The sequence below is a fragment of the Homo sapiens genome, chromosome 13 (genome assembly GCF_000001405.40).
Source record: "Homo sapiens chromosome 13, GRCh38.p14 Primary Assembly".
Classification (NCBI taxonomy): Eukaryota; Metazoa; Chordata; class Mammalia; order Primates; family Hominidae; genus Homo; species Homo sapiens.
Genome location: NC_000013.11, coordinates 51,758,627 through 51,776,789, shown reverse-complemented (window position 1 = coordinate 51,776,789; position 18,163 = coordinate 51,758,627). Strand labels below are relative to the sequence as shown.

Genomic DNA, 18,163 nt, shown 5'->3' with positions numbered 1-18,163 from the left:
AGGGCAGGGGCGGCTTGTGGGGTGCTCAGGTCAGGGTGGTGCTGCTCTTCCTGGGGACTGTCCTGCTCAGAGGGGAAGGGACTGGCTACTGGAGCCTGTTCTCCCCCAGCGGGTTGAAATATAAATTGGAGAAAGCAGGAAGAAGACAGTTAATGTAGGCTGCCTTCTCTCTGCTGTGGTGGGCAGAATAATGATCTGTGCCACCCCCGACCCGAAAGTTCATATCCTTATCCTAGAACCTGTGACTATGTCACCTTTATATAGCAGAAGGGACTTGGCAGCTGCAGTTCAGTTCAAGGCCTTGGGATGAGAAGCGTGTCCTGGAGTATCCAGGTGGGCTTGGTGGAGTCCCAAGGGTCCTCATGGGAGGGAAGGAGGAGGGTGCGAGTCAGAGGAGAAGTGACTATGGAAGCAGAGGGTGGAGACGTGGCTGTGAGCCAAGGAGTGCTGCCAGCCTCTAGAAGTTGAAGGCAAGGAATGGAGTCTCCTCTGAGACCGGCAGAGGGGACGCAGCTCCGCTGACACTTGGATTTTAGCCCATGAGCCCCACCTCAGACTTCTGGGCTCCAGAACCATAGGAGAATACATGTAGGAGAATACTGTAGAGTACATGTAGGAGAATACTGTAGAATACATGTAGGAGAATACATGTAGGAGAATACTGTAGAATACATGTAGGAGAATACTGTAGAATACATGTAGGAGAATACATGTAGGAGAATACTGTAGAATACATGTAGGAGAATACTGTAGAATACATGTAGGAGAATACATGTAGGAGAATACTGTAGAATACATGTAGGAGAATACTGTAGGAGAATACTGTAGAATACATGTAGGAGAATACTGTAGAGTACATGTAGGAGAATACTGTAGAATACATGTAGGAGAATACTGTAGAATACATGTAGGAGAATACTGTAGGAGAATACTGTAGGAGAATACTGTAGGAGAATACATGTACTGTAGGAGAATACATGTAGGAGAATACTGTAGGAGAATACTGTAGAATACATGTAGGAGAATACTGTAGAATACATGTAGGAGAATACTGTAGGAGAATACTGTAGAATACATGTAGGAGAATACTGTAGGAGAATACTGTAGGAGAATACATGTAGGAGAATACATGTAGGAGAATACTGTAGAATACATGTAGGAGAATACTGTAGGAGAATACTGTAGGAGAATACATGTAGGAGAATACTGTAGGAGAATACTGTAGGAGAATACATGTACTGTAGGAGAATACATGTAGGAGAATACTGTAGGAGAATACTGTAGAATACATGTAGGAGAATACTGTAGAATACATGTAGGAGAATACTGTAGGAGAATACTGTAGAATACATGTAGGAGAATACTGTAGGAGAATACTGTAGGAGAATACATGTAGGAGAATACATGTAGGAGAATACTGTAGAATACATGTAGGAGAATACTGTAGGAGAATACTGTAGGAGAATACATGTAGGAGAATACTGTAGGAGAATACTGTAGGAGAATACATGTACTGTAGGAGAATACATGTAGTAGAATACTGTAGGAGAATACTGTAGAATACATGTAGGAGAATACTGTAGAATACATGTAGGAGAATACTGTAGGAGAATACTGTAGAATACATGTAGGAGAATACTGTAGGAGAATACTGTAGGAGAATACATGTAGGAGAATACATGTAGGAGAATACTGTAGAATACATGTAGGAGAATACTGTAGGAGAATACTGTAGGAGAATACATGTAGGAGAATACTGTAGGAGAATACTGTAGGAGAATACATGTACTGTAGGAGAATACATGTAGGAGAATACTGTAGGAGAATACTGTAGAATACATGTAGGAGAATACTGTAGAATACATGTAGGAGAATACTGTAGGAGAATACTGTAGAATACATGTAGGAGAATACTGTAGGAGAATACTGTAGGAGAATACATGTAGGAGAATACATGTAGGAGAATACTGTAGAATACATGTAGGAGAATACTGTAGGAGAATACTGTAGGAGAATACATGTAGGAGAATACTGTAGGAGAATACTGTAGGAGAATACATGTACTGTAGGAGAATACATGTAGTAGAATACTGTAGGAGAATACTGTAGAATACATGTAGGAGAATACTGTAGAATACATGTAGGAGAATACTGTAGGAGAATACTGTAGAATACATGTAGGAGAATACTGTAGGAGAATACTGTAGGAGAATACATGTAGGAGAATACATGTAGGAGAATACTGTAGAATACATGTAGGAGAATACTGTAGGAGAATACTGTAGGAGAATACATGTAGGAGAATACTGTAGGAGAATACTGTAGGAGAATACATGTACTGTAGGAGAATACATGTAGGAGAATACTGTAGGAGAATACTGTAGAATACATGTAGGAGAATACTGTAGAATACATGTAGGAGAATACTGTAGGAGAATACATGTAGGAGAATACTGTAGGAGAATACATGTAGGAGAATACTGTAGGAGAATACATGTAGGAGAATACTGTAGGAGAATACTGTAGGAGAATACATGTAGGAGAATACTGTAGGAGAATACATGTACTGTAGGAGAATACATGTAGGAGAATACATGTACTGTAGGAGAATACTGTAGGAGAATACAATGTGTTGCTTCAAGCCACTAATTTTGTGGTCATTGGTCACAACAGCAAGAAGCACTGCTCTACAGGGGGTGAAGAGTGGAAGGGGTCACAGGCTTTAGTTTGTAAATCTCTGTTACCTTTATTGCAGATAACCGTCTCCTCAGGAGGAATGTTGGTTCAGAAACTGAACACCAATGATCTCCAGTCCGAAAGAACACCATTTGATGGAACTATGGTCTATGCACAAAACAAGGTCAGTGAGGTGGGTTTCCTGAGACTGCATTTTACCCACGGGCTGCGAGGGCCCTTTTCCAAGGAAAGCTTACTCTGGGATGCACATTAATCGGACCTTAGTAGTTCATGCAGCACCTGAAAATGTTCCCTCACCAAGAGGGCTCCCCTTTGGGGAGCACAGCTCTGCTCAGACCCATGTGGGCTTTCAGCAGCATCCTGGGAGGAGCCACAAAGCCACTGCGTCTCCTCTCGGTGTTTCTCAGACCCACACAGAACAGGATCCTAGCAGGGGGATCCATTGCCCTGTGCTGCTCAGAGGGAATGAGGACGGCGAGCGGTCCCTCCTCTCTCCTTTGGGCGGCTCTTGGCTTCCCGGAGGCTCACTGGGAGGGGCGGCACATTGAATTCTGAGGGAGGGAAGGGGCCACAGTCCAGAACCCTTGACTACTCTGAACAGAAAGTAGATTTCTACAGATGGAGCATCCTTCATCTGAAAATCCCAAATCCAAAATGCTCCAAAATCCAAATCATCTTGAGTGCTGACGATGTCACAAGTGGGAAATCCCACACCTTTGCTTTCTGATGGTTTCATGAACACACATTTTGTTTCATGCACAACATTATTTTAAAAATATTGTATAAAATCCCCTTCAGGCTATTTGTAAAGGCGTATATGACACATAAATGAATTTTGTGTTTAGATTTGAGTTCTATCCCCAAGATATCTCGTTATGTATATGCAGATATTCCAAAATTTGAAAAAATCTGAAACTTGAAACACTTCTGGGCCTCAGCATTTCAGATGAAGGATGCTCAACCTGTACTGCTGTATCTCTGCTTATTACAGCTATATTTAAAAGCCGGATATATATAACTTCCATATTTACAGTTCTTGCCCTTAAATTCACCCGCTAGGGCGCCCACATTGTCTGTAAGGCTGCCAGCACCCTCCGCCTTCCTTGTCGCTGCTGTGTGCCTTCCGAAGGTGGCCCTGTCTGAGACTCTCTGCACCTCCACTTCTTCTGTTTATATGCCCTGGGTGTGCCCCAGTTTTGCTCCTTGACCCCAGACCAAATCCTGGTGAATTACATCTCATGACTCCAAATCCTGACATTTGAAAGACCTGCACTTCTTTACAGTTTTCCCAGAGGACATGGGAATAAACCATCCACTTGTAAATGAGGCCCAGAGATGGAGTTCTTTGCCAAGCATGATCAAACTACCCTGGGATGGGGCAATAGTGTGACTGCAGCTGGGAAAGGGGAGGATTTAAGGATTTTTATTGTCTATAACTGATGTATTCTCTGTGTCTAGTACATTTGCTACACTCTGCCTAAGGAAGGAGTTAATTCATATATACTGCAACCTCCATCTCCTTGGTTTAAGCAATTCTCCTACCTCAGCCTCCTGAGTAGCTGGGATTACAGCTCCAAAATCCAAATCATTTTGATTTGCCCACCACTACACCCAGCTAATTTTTGCATTTTTAGTAGAGACTGGGTTTCACCACGTTGGCCAGGCTGGTCTTGAACTCCTGACCTCAGGTGATCGTCCCGCCTCCCAAAGTGTTGGGATTACAGACTTGAGCCACCGGCCTTAATTCCCATATTAGCTGAACACACACCGTATGCCGGTCTGTGCTGGGGGCCTGAAGTACAGCAGTGAACAGGACAGTTACCACCCCTGCCCTCAGTGAGCAGCAAAGAATAGAGTCACCCAGGCGACTTGTGGACGAGGAACACCTGGGCACTGAGGGGTGTAATTTCATGGGGGGTGGGCCTGCTATTCCTTCTCTCTCAGTGTTTTGCTGCGTTAGCTCATTGCTTGTTCTGGCCTCCTTTGGAGTGGGTAGGACCTGCTAGGTCCTACTCAGGGCTGCTGAGTAAAGACTGATTTTGGAGGAGGGTGACATCAAGTGGCCGTACATACTGCAGAGTCCAGTGTAAGATAAGCCAGGCTGGGCAGGGCTTATCCCCTGCCCTTGCACCTAATGGCGCCTCCTCTCTCCTGTTCACCCCCTCGCTCCTTCCTGTCCAGAGGCAGCAAGTGGTTCTGACGGAGCGGTGGGCCCAAGGGCACCCGGCCATCCATTTTTCTTCCATGCATCCTGGCTGGGCCGACACCCCAGGTATGTCATAGCCTTTAATTGCTGAGCCACTTACGTTTCATCTAAAAATACCTGAGCAGCCGCAGGATTGACTCTCCCCAGGAATGACCTAAAACCAGCGTAATGAGGACTGAGGAGTAGCTTCATTTCCATTTAGGCAGGGGCGCGTTGGGACTGCAGCTGGGGGAAGCCTCATACAGACACAGAGCTTTTGCTTCCAGCTTGCCCTGTGCAAGTCAGGGAAGGAGATGGTGGGAACGGGAGCAGGTGCGCCTGGGGCGCCCTGCTAACTACAGCATATCCTGGTGAGAGAGGGAGCCGGTGACCATTGTCATTTCCACGTCAGACAGGAATGAGCAGGAGCTGAGGAAGGTAGTGGGAGAGGCCCAGACTGCCTCACCACTCCCCAGGTTTTTGGAAATAATGATGCATGAAGGTAAATGCCAGCCACAAGGACACAGCTCGAATGATCTGGAAGCGTGTTGGAGCAGCGGTGGAGGGGAGCAGAATTCTCTTCCGGATTGGCCTCACCAACTCCATGACCTCAGGCAGCTCACCTGGGCTCTCTGCAGCTCTTTCCTCCTCTACAAACAAGGGAACTGAAAGCAGCAGCAGCCACAGCACACACCCCAGGGTGCACCCGCGGCGCCAAGAACTGGTCTCAGCGCTGTCTGCGGATTAACGCATTTGTCCTCAAGCCTCTGTGGAGTGGCCACTACTGTCTATTATCACACCCATTTACAGATGAGGGAACTGAGGCCCAGAGAGGCTAAGACCTCCCAGCCGGGCCTGGCCATGGGGTTTTGGGAATCAGGCTCTCACACACTGCTGGCATGGCCTTTCTGAAAATCACTATTTATCAGAAGCCTTGGAATTCATCCTAAGAAATAAAGATAGGGAAAACAAGGTTGCTTATCACAGTGCTGGTGGTAGGAGATGAAGTTAATAAATTATAGAACACCTGTGCAAAATCTGTTCAGGGCTGAAGACTCTGCTGCCAATCATGCCTATGGAAAAACCCTGTGTGCACTATATCATTAAATGAAGATACCAAGTTCCTGAATAGTACATGCCTCATGATCTTATTTTTGTAACTACCACACCCCTATAGAAAGAGGTGTGTGTTGGTGCTTTGTGGCATCTCATGGAGACCAGCTTGGAGATTTGGCAGAAATTAGTCCTCACCTGTACAGATCTGAGTCTCCTGTCTTAAATACAGAAAGGATGTTCTCAGCAAAGTATACTAGGGGAGACTCAGCCTGGGAGTGCTCAGAGAGCATGGCTTCTCGATTCTTCTCACGGCCTAATGGGAGACATGCTTGGTTCTGCCTGTCCAGGGTGAATTCTAGGAGGCCATGGGGGGCCCCCAGCCTCTTACCCTCCAAGGACACCATTCTGACAATCCCAGCATCAGCTCAGATGTTTAAAATCTGCTTGGCAAGCCCACCAGCGGGCTCTATCATCTGGGTCAAGGTGCAGTTTACCATGTGTTGTTCAGAGGTTACAGAGCAGCTCTCAGGTGCACACAACCTGTCTGTGGCCACAGGGGCCTGGGAGGGCTGAGCATGCGGACATGTGTCACCGCGGAGTGACACATCACAAGGTTTTCACATTTTTTCTTTTTGCCTATCAGTTTATCCTGATTTTTCTACAGTAAACAAGTATTGCTTCTGTGAAAAGAAAAAAAGATGTTTATTTTTAATTTAAAAAAGGAGGGCTTTTGCTTAGGTGATCCTTTCTAGCTCTAAAATTCCATGATCTCAGTAAGGCTCTTAATTGTTGTTTTCTCTGGTTTATTTTCTTTCCTTGGCTTCGAGAGAGAACTATTTTGTTTCCCAATGTGCTCACTGTGGAGACACTGTGTTCCCTGAGGTCTGTGGGAAAATGGGGTGTGGACTGGAGCCAGAGCGTGTGGCTGGGTCCTCGAAGGCGTGGGCAGGTAGAGTGCCCGACGCTGTGGCACAGGCCAGGCCCGGGAGGCTACTCCAGGCAAACACCTCCCTGTAGCCCTGGGATGCAGAGGGTGGGACACCTCGAGGGGCTTGGCAGAGGAAGTGAAGAATTCTTTCCTCTTATCTACTCCTCCCTAAAAGAGGAAAACACTAAAACAGTCCAGGGAACCAACAGCCAGGATCCTCTGAGCCTAGATGGTTTGAGAGGGCTCCTGAACCCAGGAGACTAAGTGGTTTGCTGGGCCCAGCCTCACTGTGAGCCCCACAGCTCATTAGAATCCTCTCTTAGGATGGAAAGGGAGGGCTCTGCGGGCGACTCTGCTCTCAGGGCTGGGCTGGGTGCTGGTGCCCCGGGGACATGGGGACTCAATCAGGCCTCTGGTGAGCACCACTTTCCATCAGGTGACACCTTGGGGGCTTTGTAACAAGGTTCTTTGGAACTGGTTCCGAGTGGCTTGGGTGAGTGCTATAAAATAGAAGGAGCAGTTTATGATCCCATTTCATTTTTGCACTTTTTTTTTTTTTTAAATTAAGGGAAGTCAACCACATTTGCTGGAGAATGCTGTCCTAATCCGCCTGACCCTTCCTTCTCCCAGGTGTGAGGCAGGCGATGCCGGGGTTCCACGCCAGGTTCGGGGACCGCCTGCGCTCCGAGGCCCAGGGCGCGGACACCATGCTGTGGCTGGCCCTCTCCTCTGCCGCAGCCGCACAGCCCAGCGGCCGCTTCTTTCAAGGTGACTTCCTCCCTGGCTGTGAAGGCAGCTGACACAGGGCTAGGGGCAGCAGCTGGGCCTTCGAGGCGCACCTTCCCCTCCGTGAAACCTGGGGTGGGACTGTCCCCTGGGGGGTGCCTGGGCTTCTTTGGCGAGATGATTGCTTTGCCTGCTGAGGTTAGTTTTGGGAAGCGCTTCACTCCAGGTTGGTAGCTTCTTTGGAGACTTGTGATAACCCTGTCATCAAGGTCCTGTGAGAACGGGAGAGGCAGTTCCTACCTTGGGAATGGAAGATTTTCTCTGCAGTTTGCTGAGGCCCAGGAGGGGCGCTATTCAAAGCTGCACTGCAAAGGGAGTAACGGACTCTGCTTCTCTGCAGTGCAAAGGGTGTAAGGGACTCTGCTTCTCTATTTTTGGAAGCAGTGATCTGTTCACGTCTCTCCCCAGTGGGCTCCTAAGGGGGCAGGCGTGTGAGTGGACGCCATCCGAAGACAGCACTTGACCTCGGGTGGAAGCCAGGCTCTTTGCTTGGCTTCTCTTTCCTCTGTTCTTGATGAGAACCACCCTTGCTTGAGGAATTCTGAAGCGCTGGTGACCCCTGGGGTATCCGGGAGGATGGCCGCACCCCTTCCTGCTGATCACCCAAACGTGGTCTCCCGTCCAGCCCTGGCTGCAGCCTCCCAGTTCCCAAACTGCACTTTACATATCAATCCATGCTGCCTGATCCCTGTGGGACCTTTGACAGCAGGGATGGGGGTCTAACAGCTGTAGGGTGCTGCCACTCCAGCAGGCGTCGGTTCAAGGCCTGAGCAGCACAGGGACATGGACCCAGCCACGCTGCAGCAGCTCACACCTCTCTGCGGTTCCCTCTCACTTTTAGATCGGAAGCCAGTTTCTACACACTTGCCTCTCGCTACAGCGTCCTCCTCACCGGCCGAAGAGGAGAAACTCATTGAAATCCTGGAACAGCTGGCTCAGACATTTAAATAGGCCAACCCAGACACAGTGCGGTACCAGAATTGCCTTAGAAGATACCAGAAGGTGCGGTCTAGGGACCAGTGAATAAGAAGACCCCACTTCAACTTCCCCTCGAAGACGTTGTGCCTCACAGCGAGGCCTACAAGGGATGGGAACTTTTATTTCAAAATAAATACTACCGAGGCTGTGATCAGGCTCACCTTGAACTCCTGCAGCAGGTTCTTTTCTTATTTTAAGTCTCATTTATTCGAGAATGGTTTTCTAAAGAATTCGAAGTTTGAGATGAACCATCATTTCAGTCTTAGGGGACGCAGGGGTGGGGGCAGCAGGAATGCCCCCCTGTGAACTCCACTTCCCCTCCCTTTCTCAGCTCCTCCAGTGTCAGAGGCTGGCGCTGTGCACCCCCCCCCCCCCCCCGCCCCAGGAGAGGGCTGGACACTGCCTTTACTGTGCATGGTCCCAGAAGCACAGCATAACCAAGGGACGATGCATATTTACACAAACAATTTAATGAGGCCTAGTTTACATTTGCTTAAGATTAGGAGTGGCTTCAGTAATGCATCTGGCATTCTGGTACTACACTTTGATAAAACCTCTAATTTACACCATTTTACCTCTTAGTGACTCCAGGAAAAGTTGTAATAAAACCAATGAGCAGATTTAGAATACATCTACATACATTCTTGGTGTCCATGGTGGAATAAACGTAACTCATCCCCCATAGCAGAGGAAAACCCAGACGGCTGCAGCTTCTCAGTGGTCCTGGAGACACTCTGATCCAGGGCTCATCATCAGCCAAGGACCACAAGGAAGGGATTTTTCTGGGTGTGCCAGCCTGAAACATCAGCGTCTTTCTGACAAAAGGAGGCGCTATCAAGCAAGCACCAGCTCCATTTAACTGCATGCCTCCTTTTCTGCAGGAGGATGATGGGCCTCAGCAATGCTGGGTGTGGGCGACGCTGTGCTGGCAGCACCAGGACGGGGCAACCCAGCCACCCCCTCAACGGTGATTCCATAGCATGCAGGTCACTTGGTGCCTTTGCACCTATTTTTCTTCTCCATAAAATGAACCTCACAAGTTTTAAATGAGGCTTTCCCTGGCAGTGTTTGCCCCGAAGTCATTTCTCCTCACTGGAAAAGTTTACTAAGCACAAGAAAAAGCTGACTTACATGATGAAGGAAAAGGGCTCCATGGCTTGAGCCCGTGTGCTGTGCTTAGACTGTGGTGAACAGGGCTCATCTTCACCTCCAAACAGCAGCTCTCCCTGGCATCTAGACAGCAGGTGGAGTGGTCTGGAACCTCCCCCTCCCACCAACTGGACAGAACCCACAGGGCTAAACAGCACAGCAAGGTTGTCGGTGTGTGCGTGGCCACATGTAACCGTGATGGGACCATAGCTGCAGAAAGGTTTTCACAGAGATTTATTTTAAACCGTGGCGGCAACTCCGCATTGAGAGTTGTACATTGGTAATGGCTACACGTATATTTTGGTTAGAGGAAAGCACAGTGGGAAAGTGAGCGGAGTAAAAACATTCACAATATTCAGCAGCATTTGATTGGGGGCCTGGATACAGATGTTTCAATATCCTAGGAAATTCTTGCTCATTACCACCTAATCACATTCAGGAAGTCAATGTCAGGACTGGCAGGGAGTGTGGCAAATGCCGGAGGGGTCCAGCTAGACCACACGGGAGAAATCTGTTCCAATGTCAGGCTTATTACATTCTCAGCCTGACCCCCTGAAGAATCTCCTCACTTTAAAAAAAGAAAGAAAAAGATATCCATACGGTAATATGCCCACTGCAGCCAGGTCCAGACTTGGGCTGCAGTCCGGTGGATGTAGAGAATGGAAGATCCGTGTCCCTGGTTAGAAGTAGAGCGGTGGGCAGGCACTAATGTGGGGCCAGCACCTTCCCTGTTGTCCAGTTAGTAACGGTTTTTGTACATTTCATATAAAGATTTCCTTTTGCAAAATGACAGCACCTTGAAAAACAAAGTCATTTAAAAAGCAAGGCAAATGGTGTAAGACACAAATCCATAAGAGTACAATGGTTACAAGTGACGCTAGGGTTTTGGCCATACTTCATAGTGGCATATACTACTGACGTAAGGCTGCCATCCACTAAAATGATAAAAAGTGTATATGTGAAACATTTTTCAAATCATTTTCCCTTTTTTTGTGAGTGACAGCTCACCTTCTCATGCATCCCCGAGAACCAAGGGAAAAAAGAATCATAAGTAACAAGGTCAGATTCTCAATCTAACTTTTCAGCCAACCTGCAATTCTTGACACTTCCAAGAAAGTCAGATACTCTTCTTGACTTGTAAAGGTAAACATTTTGAGGTATCTATTTTTAATGAGATGGTACCATGATTAATTTCCACCCTTACCATCTTTAAAAAGAATTTTTTTTGCCCTACAAACTCATGAAAAGAAACTTCACCATCTTTTCTCAAAACCAAACCTAGCAGGCTCTAGATGGAAAAAGTCCAGAAAGCAACTCACTTGATATGATGGAAGACAACAAAGGCATGTGGTGATAGGCTCTCCGTTATCCAAGGGAAGCCAGCAATATGCGGGCAGGTCACTGGTGATGGGCTAGGCATGTCCAATAATAAACGAGACTCAGGGAATCAGAGAATCACAGGATTGGAAGGGACTTTAAGAATGATGATCAAATTCATCCCTCAAGCCTTTAATCTCCCTTTCAACATCTCTGGCAAAGGCTCTACACTGTGTGTTAAAAAAATTCCCTGGTATGGGACATGCAAGGAAGACATCCCATTCCAATTTAGGACCGATCTAATTTTTAGACACTGCTTTCATGTGTTAAACCTAAGTAGGCTTCTTGGTGGAAAGGAGATAATGCTTAAAGGCAAAAATACAAACCACAACCCTGGAGGGTTGACGTGGTTCTTGGTTAAGAAACTGAGCTGAAGTTTAAACAGGAATGCAGATGTTTCTGGACTAAGTTTTGGACATAGATCTTTGGGTCCTACAAGGAAAAGGCAAATGATGTGATAGCAAAGACAGGCGCTGCCATGCCCCTGCACGGTGTTCCTGCCTCCACAGGGCCAGGTCTCCCAGACAGACCTGTACCTGAATTGACGAAACTCTCTGCCTTCCTGTTGCAAGTGCCCCTGTAAGGAGGACCTCCCACATTGTACTGGAATCATCTGTGACTTGCAAGAGCAGGAAGTGGAGGGCAGCAGCTGCCTGTGTCTGCACCCAAACACTCGGCACCGCCTGTCCGTGCAACGCCACACTTGACTAGAACAATCCTCTCCTGCCACAGGGCCAGGGCTTTCCTTTTCCACAGTGGAGCAGCTGAGCCCAACACACCTTTGGCGTTAGTCTGGGAGTCCTTCCTGGTTGCGGGCCGTGCACTGATAGTCTCCACCTCCTCCTCTCAGACTCCAGTGAGAGGCTGTGCACCCAAAGATCCAGAATTAGTTACCCTGAGTCACCTTCAGTTAACAGTTCTAGGGATTTCCAAAGAAAAAGAAACTGATACTATTATAATATAAACTAATAGTAGCATTGGCTGCAGGAGGAGCCTCTGGGGAAACCCCTCGTGGTGAGCTGTGTGCTGCTTTCCTCTGAGGCCAGGGAGCAGCAGCATCTGATAGTGACGAGCTCAATTCTGGGATGGCAGCTGAGCCACTTGGCTGTTCTCCGGCAGCTCCAGCCCACTTGTGATCCCTGGACACACCACACTGACTCCAGCTCTCAGGCCTTTGTTTGTTTATGCTGTTTCTGAAGCCTGGAAAGTCATTTCCATTTTTCCCCCTTATGACTCACTCCTCATCCTTTAACACTGAGCTCAAAGTCCCTTTCCTCTGTGAAGCCCCTCCTGCCACACCTGCTGGGTTAGTGGCACCCTGGCATGCCTCTATCATAACCACATTGCACTGAAAAGACCCATTTACTCACTGTGTGACCTCTGCCCAGCCTGAGAATGGGCCTCAGACACCTTGCACTGCCAGTGCCTAAAGCCTGGTGGCTGGTGAGCGCTCAACACGGTTGACATGAACATTCAAATCTCAGGGATCATCTAGATAACTCAGTGTTCAACATGATCTTAATTTCTGTGTTTTCCAATCAAGTTAATAAATATCTGTCTTCGTACCAGGAAAAATTCAATATTATTTTAAAGGAGAAAAAATAAGAATGTATTGGTAAAATGCTTTCTCTCACTTCGAAATATCTTAGTGAACAAGAACACTGACATAGAATTAAAATTCTATGAACAGCCATAACCAAAGGAATCTCATTTAGTGAATATTTATGTCCAGTAACTGCAACCCACACTTAGAGCTATCCTTTTGCTTAAAAACAAAAATTTGGGCCTTAAGAAGTGATTAATATCAGGCAAAAATAAATTATACTTTTGTTTATTTATTCAGGGCCTTGCTCTGCTGCCCAGGCTGGACTGCAGTAGTGCAATCATAGCTCACTGCATCCTTGAATTCCTGGGCTCGAGTGATCCTCCCGCCTCAGCTTCCTGAGTAGCTGGGAATACAGGTGTGTGCCACCACACCCAACTAAGTTTTGAATTTTTGGTAGTGACAGGATCTTGCTGTGTGGCCCAGGCTGGTCTTGAACTCCTGGGCTCAGCAATCCTCCCACCTTGTCCTCCCAAAGTGTTCAGATTATAGGTGTGAGCCATGGCACCTGGCCTTTACTTTTATAAAATGAATCTCAGAAAATGAAAATGTGATATTCCATAAGGGCAGTGCTGTAAGCCTGGGAATCGCAGCCAAACGGGGCAGGGTGAATTTTAAGTGCCACTGGATTTCCATTTCAGTTTTGCCTCTGGGGTGGTCTGAGGGGAATGTATAGGAAGGAATTTATGTGGATGAAGGCAATAATTACCTCCCCCACCACAGGGCCGGAGCCAAAAAAACTGTCATATATGCTTTCGATAAGAGGAACAAAGCTGGTTCCAGAGAGCGCCCTGTCTCAAGGTGCTGAAAGTCTCTCCTCCCACTCATGCCATTACTAAGTAATGTTCAAAAACAGCTATTCCTTGAACATTCTTTTAGATTCTCTTGTTTACATCTCAGCCATATCTAACTGCCCTGTATAACTAATGTGTTTTCTGCTTGAAACACTCTAGATCTCTGAAGATCCCTTCCAGTTTTGTGACTTTATGATTTCTGGAAATAATTAAAACCAAATGAGAAACACGTTATGGTGGATTGACCCCATACAAAATGACATAAGATTCCAAATGCTTAATCTCAAACCATTTTGCTATTGTGAAGATACACTCAGGCAGTAATGTCAAGTAATGTCATTCGTTTGGAGGAACCAAGAACATGTGGTTGGTTTTGCCCCATCAGGTAGAGAACAACTCTGCGTATGATATGTGTAGATCTGCCACTTTCTCAGCGCAGGCATGTTAGGCATTATTTGTAAAAGCTGCTATATGTTTAAGTAATAGAGCAAAAATATATGTAAAGTGCAAATCCAACAGGGTAAAACAAGAATTATGAGAGTTCACCTAGACAGAACAAGAGCCAAGTGCTGGCGCCAGCTTTTACTCCTAAGGAATGGAGCCTCCATTTCCATAAAATGCTTGGAAGACACCCAACACCAGCACATATTTCTCTACAAATTACAAAAATGGGGGAGACACTTAATGCAAAACGCAAGAATTCACAGTATTACAAACACACAGTTGGTTTGCTAAACGCATTTCACCAAATTCAAGCACCCACACAGATGAGAGAAAAGGAAAGAGCAATGGATACCTTGACATATCTGGTTTTCTGATGATGATTCTCAACACCAGTGGGCTGTGAAGTGGCTTCAGCCTCTGAGTGGCTCTGTGGGCTGGGAGGGAGAAGGTAGAGTGGCGTGCAAGGTCACAGGCCAGAGCGACTGTAGAGGACATATGTGATCTGACGGGGACACTCTGCTTCCCGAATGAGGTCTGAACGCATCTAGACCCATCTCAGAACCCATACAGGCTTGCTGGGCGCCTGGGCCTTTGCTGCCCTAATACTGTGTTCCTCTCTCTGCCGGCAGGCCAAGCTCAAAGTTTAGGAAGGGAAAATGGAGTGATTCAGCTCTATTACTCATTTCCAACACACAGTCCTATATTACATACAACTTAGTAAGTGGCTGCAGCTTCTAGTAATAAACTACAAAATAGATATTTGAATATTTTAAATTTAATTCCCTTGTTAAAGTTCTCTCAAAGAGCAATCATGCAGAAAAGACTCAAAGTAGTTACAACAGTTTTGACTGACGCAAGCAAGGGTAGTCTGGACCAGGGCAGCGAGGCGACAAGTGCTAACAGCCTGTGCGGGGCATGCGTGTGTGCCTCTTCAGAGCTCCGGTCACATGGGCTGAGCCGGTCTGATGGCTCAAGTGACAGCTTCCATGTACCGTGGCTGCATGGGGCACATGCACTGGTCCTGCTTCCCAATGCTGGGGCAGCAGAATCACCTCTAGCAAGGCCCCATCCCAGGGAAACACACGTAGGGGCAGTACCTGAGGACAGCTTGTAGTACTTCCCCCTAGTTAGAGAAGTAATGAATGATTGTGAGGGCAAAAAACGGCTTTCCAGGAAAAGAGGGAAAATAATAGGGAGGATTTCAATTTCACTCCCATGTGTATTACTGCCAAAAAACCTGTAAAATCAGAAGAGAGCAAGACACTGTGGGGTGGGGCTTGGGTCGGGAAGGACAAGCAATTGGCCTGTGATCCTCAAGAGACTGGTGAGCTCCCTGATGCTCCCGACACGTGAGGTTGAATGAGCTGTGCGTGTAAAGTGCTTAGGAGGGGCAGGCACCTGGCGCAGGCTTGCCATTAATTTTTATTCTATTTTTACAGGTGAAAATAAGATTTTTAAAAGGGACTTCAATATCCTGAGCTGAATCACTACACACAAGAATATTTCATTTTCTCAAGCTTGACTGGATTCCCTTAGAAATAAGAGTTCTTCAGGTTCACTTTCTAAAGTCCTCTTTTCCATTCCCACAGAAACATAGCCTGCACTGTAGGTACCATTCTGTCTCGGACCACCCACATACCGTTTTAGTAAGAAAGTGTGCAAAGTGTTCTGATGAAACACATTAGGATAAAATGTTTAAATATCTAGTTTTTAAAGGGATAGAATACAGAGGGCGAGGAATACAGCAGGATTACAATCTTGCCGTAATGAACATGTTCAAGTTCAGAGATGATGTCACACAGAAAAACACAACTTAAAGACACTTATTTTCAGAGCATGTATGGTGGGGGTCCCCAACCCTGGGCTGCAGATGGGTACTGGTCCATAGCCTGTGAGGAATGGGGGCACCCATCAGACGTGAGCAGTGGGCAAGCAAGTGTTACTGCCTGGGCTCCGCCTCCCATCAGATCAGCGGTGGCGTCAGATTCTCACAGGAGCAGAAACTCTATTGTGAACTGCGCATGCGAGGGATTTAGGTTGCGTGCTCCTTATGAGAAGCTAATGCCTGCTGATCCGAGGTGGAACAGTTTCATTTTGAAACCGGTCCCTGCTGCCAACAAGGTTGAGGGCCGCTGATGTAGGATTTTGTGTGTGTGTCATTTGTTTTCATTGTTACGAGTGAGGGAGAGCTGCGTCAAAAAAGCTAAAACAAGAGGCTCAGGAGGCTCCAACTGAATTCTAAATGATCCAGGCACTGATCGTTGAAGCTCTGAGTTAAAATAATCTACTTCTGTGATAACCATGGTTGGGAGCAGCTTTCTCACAGCATTTTTTTTTTTAATGTGGGAAAGACAGAGGCAACTGAGGCAGAAACACAGTCTTTTCTACTTCATAAGAACGTGAATGAGGCAGACATTACAAACAAATCGCTCTTCAGGCAATTCCAGCAGCTGGCTGGTGAATCCACATGATGAGTTTCCAAATCTCTCCACTGAGGAGGACATGAAAGCAGAAACACTGGGAATAAATAACATAAATACATCCCCTCCAGGAAAGGCAGAGAAGGTGCAGGTAGGTGCAGAGGGAAGAGAAGAAAAAGCCGCTGGCCACGTGACACATGTTGAAGTAAACACAGAAAGTATAATGACCAAAATACTCTGAGTAGATACCTCCCTTATTTCTCTGACAAAGCAACAAGTAAAATGGGGTGTTGAAAAGTATAAAAATTAAACACCCCACACAGATTTTTCGGTACACTCAAAACAATGCAGCACAGCCAGACTGTATAAACCATTTGTTAAAAAAATAGCTTCTTTTATATTGTATGAACAAGTTGGAAGAGTCCCCTTGCGAGTGCTCACTGGCCAGGTCCCCACTGTGCACATGGGTAATCTGCAAATTCATTCAGGGTCTTTAGTTTCTTTCTTACTTCTCACATGTCTGCTTTACCACTCTGGTAATGATTTGGGTTAAAACAACCGTTTCTTTAGTAAATACTATCTTTCTGATTCCTGGGAGAGTCATCAAGACACGACTGGGGTCATATCCCACAACTGCAAAAAGAAAAAGAAGATACAGAATGAACTAAAATTGTGTTGAGGATAACAGTCCTTAGAACTGAATTCTTCAAGGAAATTTTTTTCATTTAACAAACCACCACATACTATACTAACATGATTTCCAAATCTGTAAAATATTTTTTTCATCAAAAAAGTTCAAATAAAGCTCAAAAACAAGACAATGACAGCTTGAAATTTTGATGCAGCTCATGAAGAATCATGGCAGATTCAATCTATTAATGGCTGAGAGGACTGGGAAGACAAGCTACACTGCAGATCCTCCTGTGAGTCACTAAAAGGGAAATGCTGCAGAGCACTGTGTTTACATCTGAGGCAGCATTCGATGAGCCAACATGAAAGCGACAATATAGATTTGTTCCACCCTCCAAATAGATTGAATCCATTAAATAACTCAATCCATTAACTGGACGCCAAGCACGTGCTGTGTCCTTTCCATTTAAACTTCCAAACCATTTTACAAGATACCTCGTTTTCAAAAATAAAGGACCTGAGGCTGCCAGAGTTTATCCTATTTTAATTAATTAATTATTTTGAGACAGGGTCTTGCTCTGTCACCCAGGCTGGAGTACAGTGGCACAATCATGGCTCACTGCAGCCTCGACTTACTGGGCTCAAGTAATTCTTGCACGTCAGCCTCCCAAGTAGCTGGACTACAGGCAGGAACCACCACGTCTGGCTAATTTTTGATTTTTTTGTTAAGACAGGGTCACACTATGGTGGCCAGGCTGGTCTTGAACTCCTGGGGTCAAGTGATCCTCCGTCTCACCTCCCAAAGGGCTGGGATTATAGGCGTGAGTCAACACACCCAGCCCCAGAGTTTATTTTAAACTTCCTCTCAAAGTCACGGAGATCTGGTAGCTTCCAAAGTGGGTTATTTTAGCTATCTCATCCTGCTGTGACCTCCAAGAATGGGTCAGGGAGGTAGAGCTCAGTGTGCTATAAATTCTCATATGTATTACCGTTTTGACTGCTACATATGTGACCTATTACAGTCTTTTTAGTCTGTCCCAAGTAGACTATCTATTCCTTGCAGGCTGGAGCTCTGTCTTATTTCTTTGTGTAGAGCCAGTGCCTGGGATGAGGCTG

At 46.3% G+C, this 18,163-nt stretch overlaps 2 protein-coding genes across 48 annotated transcripts in view, besides 2 other annotated features; one reads left to right on the top strand and one right to left on the bottom strand.

Annotated features, from left to right (window-relative positions):
• DHRS12 (dehydrogenase/reductase 12) overlaps window positions 1–18,163 on the top strand; it is a 49,310-nt gene that overhangs the window by 27,374 nt on the left and 3,773 nt on the right. For 3 of the 41 annotated variants that reach the window (XM_047430626.1, XM_047430619.1, XM_047430646.1), the window contains 4 exons: window positions 265–333; window positions 2,756–2,869; window positions 4,879–4,969; window positions 5,295–6,013. In XM_047430626.1, the coding sequence (XP_047286582.1) occupies window positions 265–333; window positions 2,756–2,869; window positions 4,879–4,969; window positions 5,295–5,551 (531 nt within the window). In that variant the 3' untranslated portion in view covers window positions 5,552–6,013. Of the gene's footprint in view, window positions 1–236; window positions 334–2,755; window positions 2,870–3,756; window positions 4,024–4,878; window positions 4,970–5,294; window positions 6,014–7,496; window positions 8,798–18,163 lie in introns of those variants that run through there. The other 38 variants (NR_165332.1, NR_165333.1, NM_024705.2 and 35 more) reach the window with 23 other exon arrangements.
• Window positions 5,205–5,374: an enhancer, noted in NCBI's record as "experimental_32930 CRE fragment used in MPRA reporter constructs". NCBI's record gives its function as "activates a minimal promoter by MPRAs in K562 erythroleukemia cells, with activity observed for both the introgressed and non-introgressed 13:52345637 variant alleles {active_cell/tissue: K562}" and the evidence as "EXISTENCE:reporter gene assay evidence [ECO:0000049][PMID:34662402]".
• Window positions 9,081–18,163, bottom strand: part of WDFY2 (WD repeat and FYVE domain containing 2) — a 183,248-nt gene continuing 174,165 nt past the window's right edge. For 4 of the 7 annotated variants that reach the window (NM_052950.4, XM_011534915.3, XM_024449317.2 and 1 more), the window contains one exon: window positions 9,081–17,050. In NM_052950.4, coding sequence (NP_443182.1) covers window positions 17,021–17,050 — 30 coding nt within the window. In that variant the 3' untranslated portion in view covers window positions 9,081–17,020. The remainder of the gene's footprint in view (window positions 17,051–18,163) is intronic. The other 3 variants (XR_007063659.1, XR_941483.2, XM_011534914.2) reach the window with 3 other exon arrangements.
• Window positions 11,950–12,269: an enhancer, noted in NCBI's record as "active region_7778". NCBI's record gives its function as "activates an Ori minimal core promoter by ATAC-STARR-seq in GM12878 lymphoblastoid cells {active_cell/tissue: GM12878}" and the evidence as "EXISTENCE:reporter gene assay evidence [ECO:0000049][PMID:35858748]".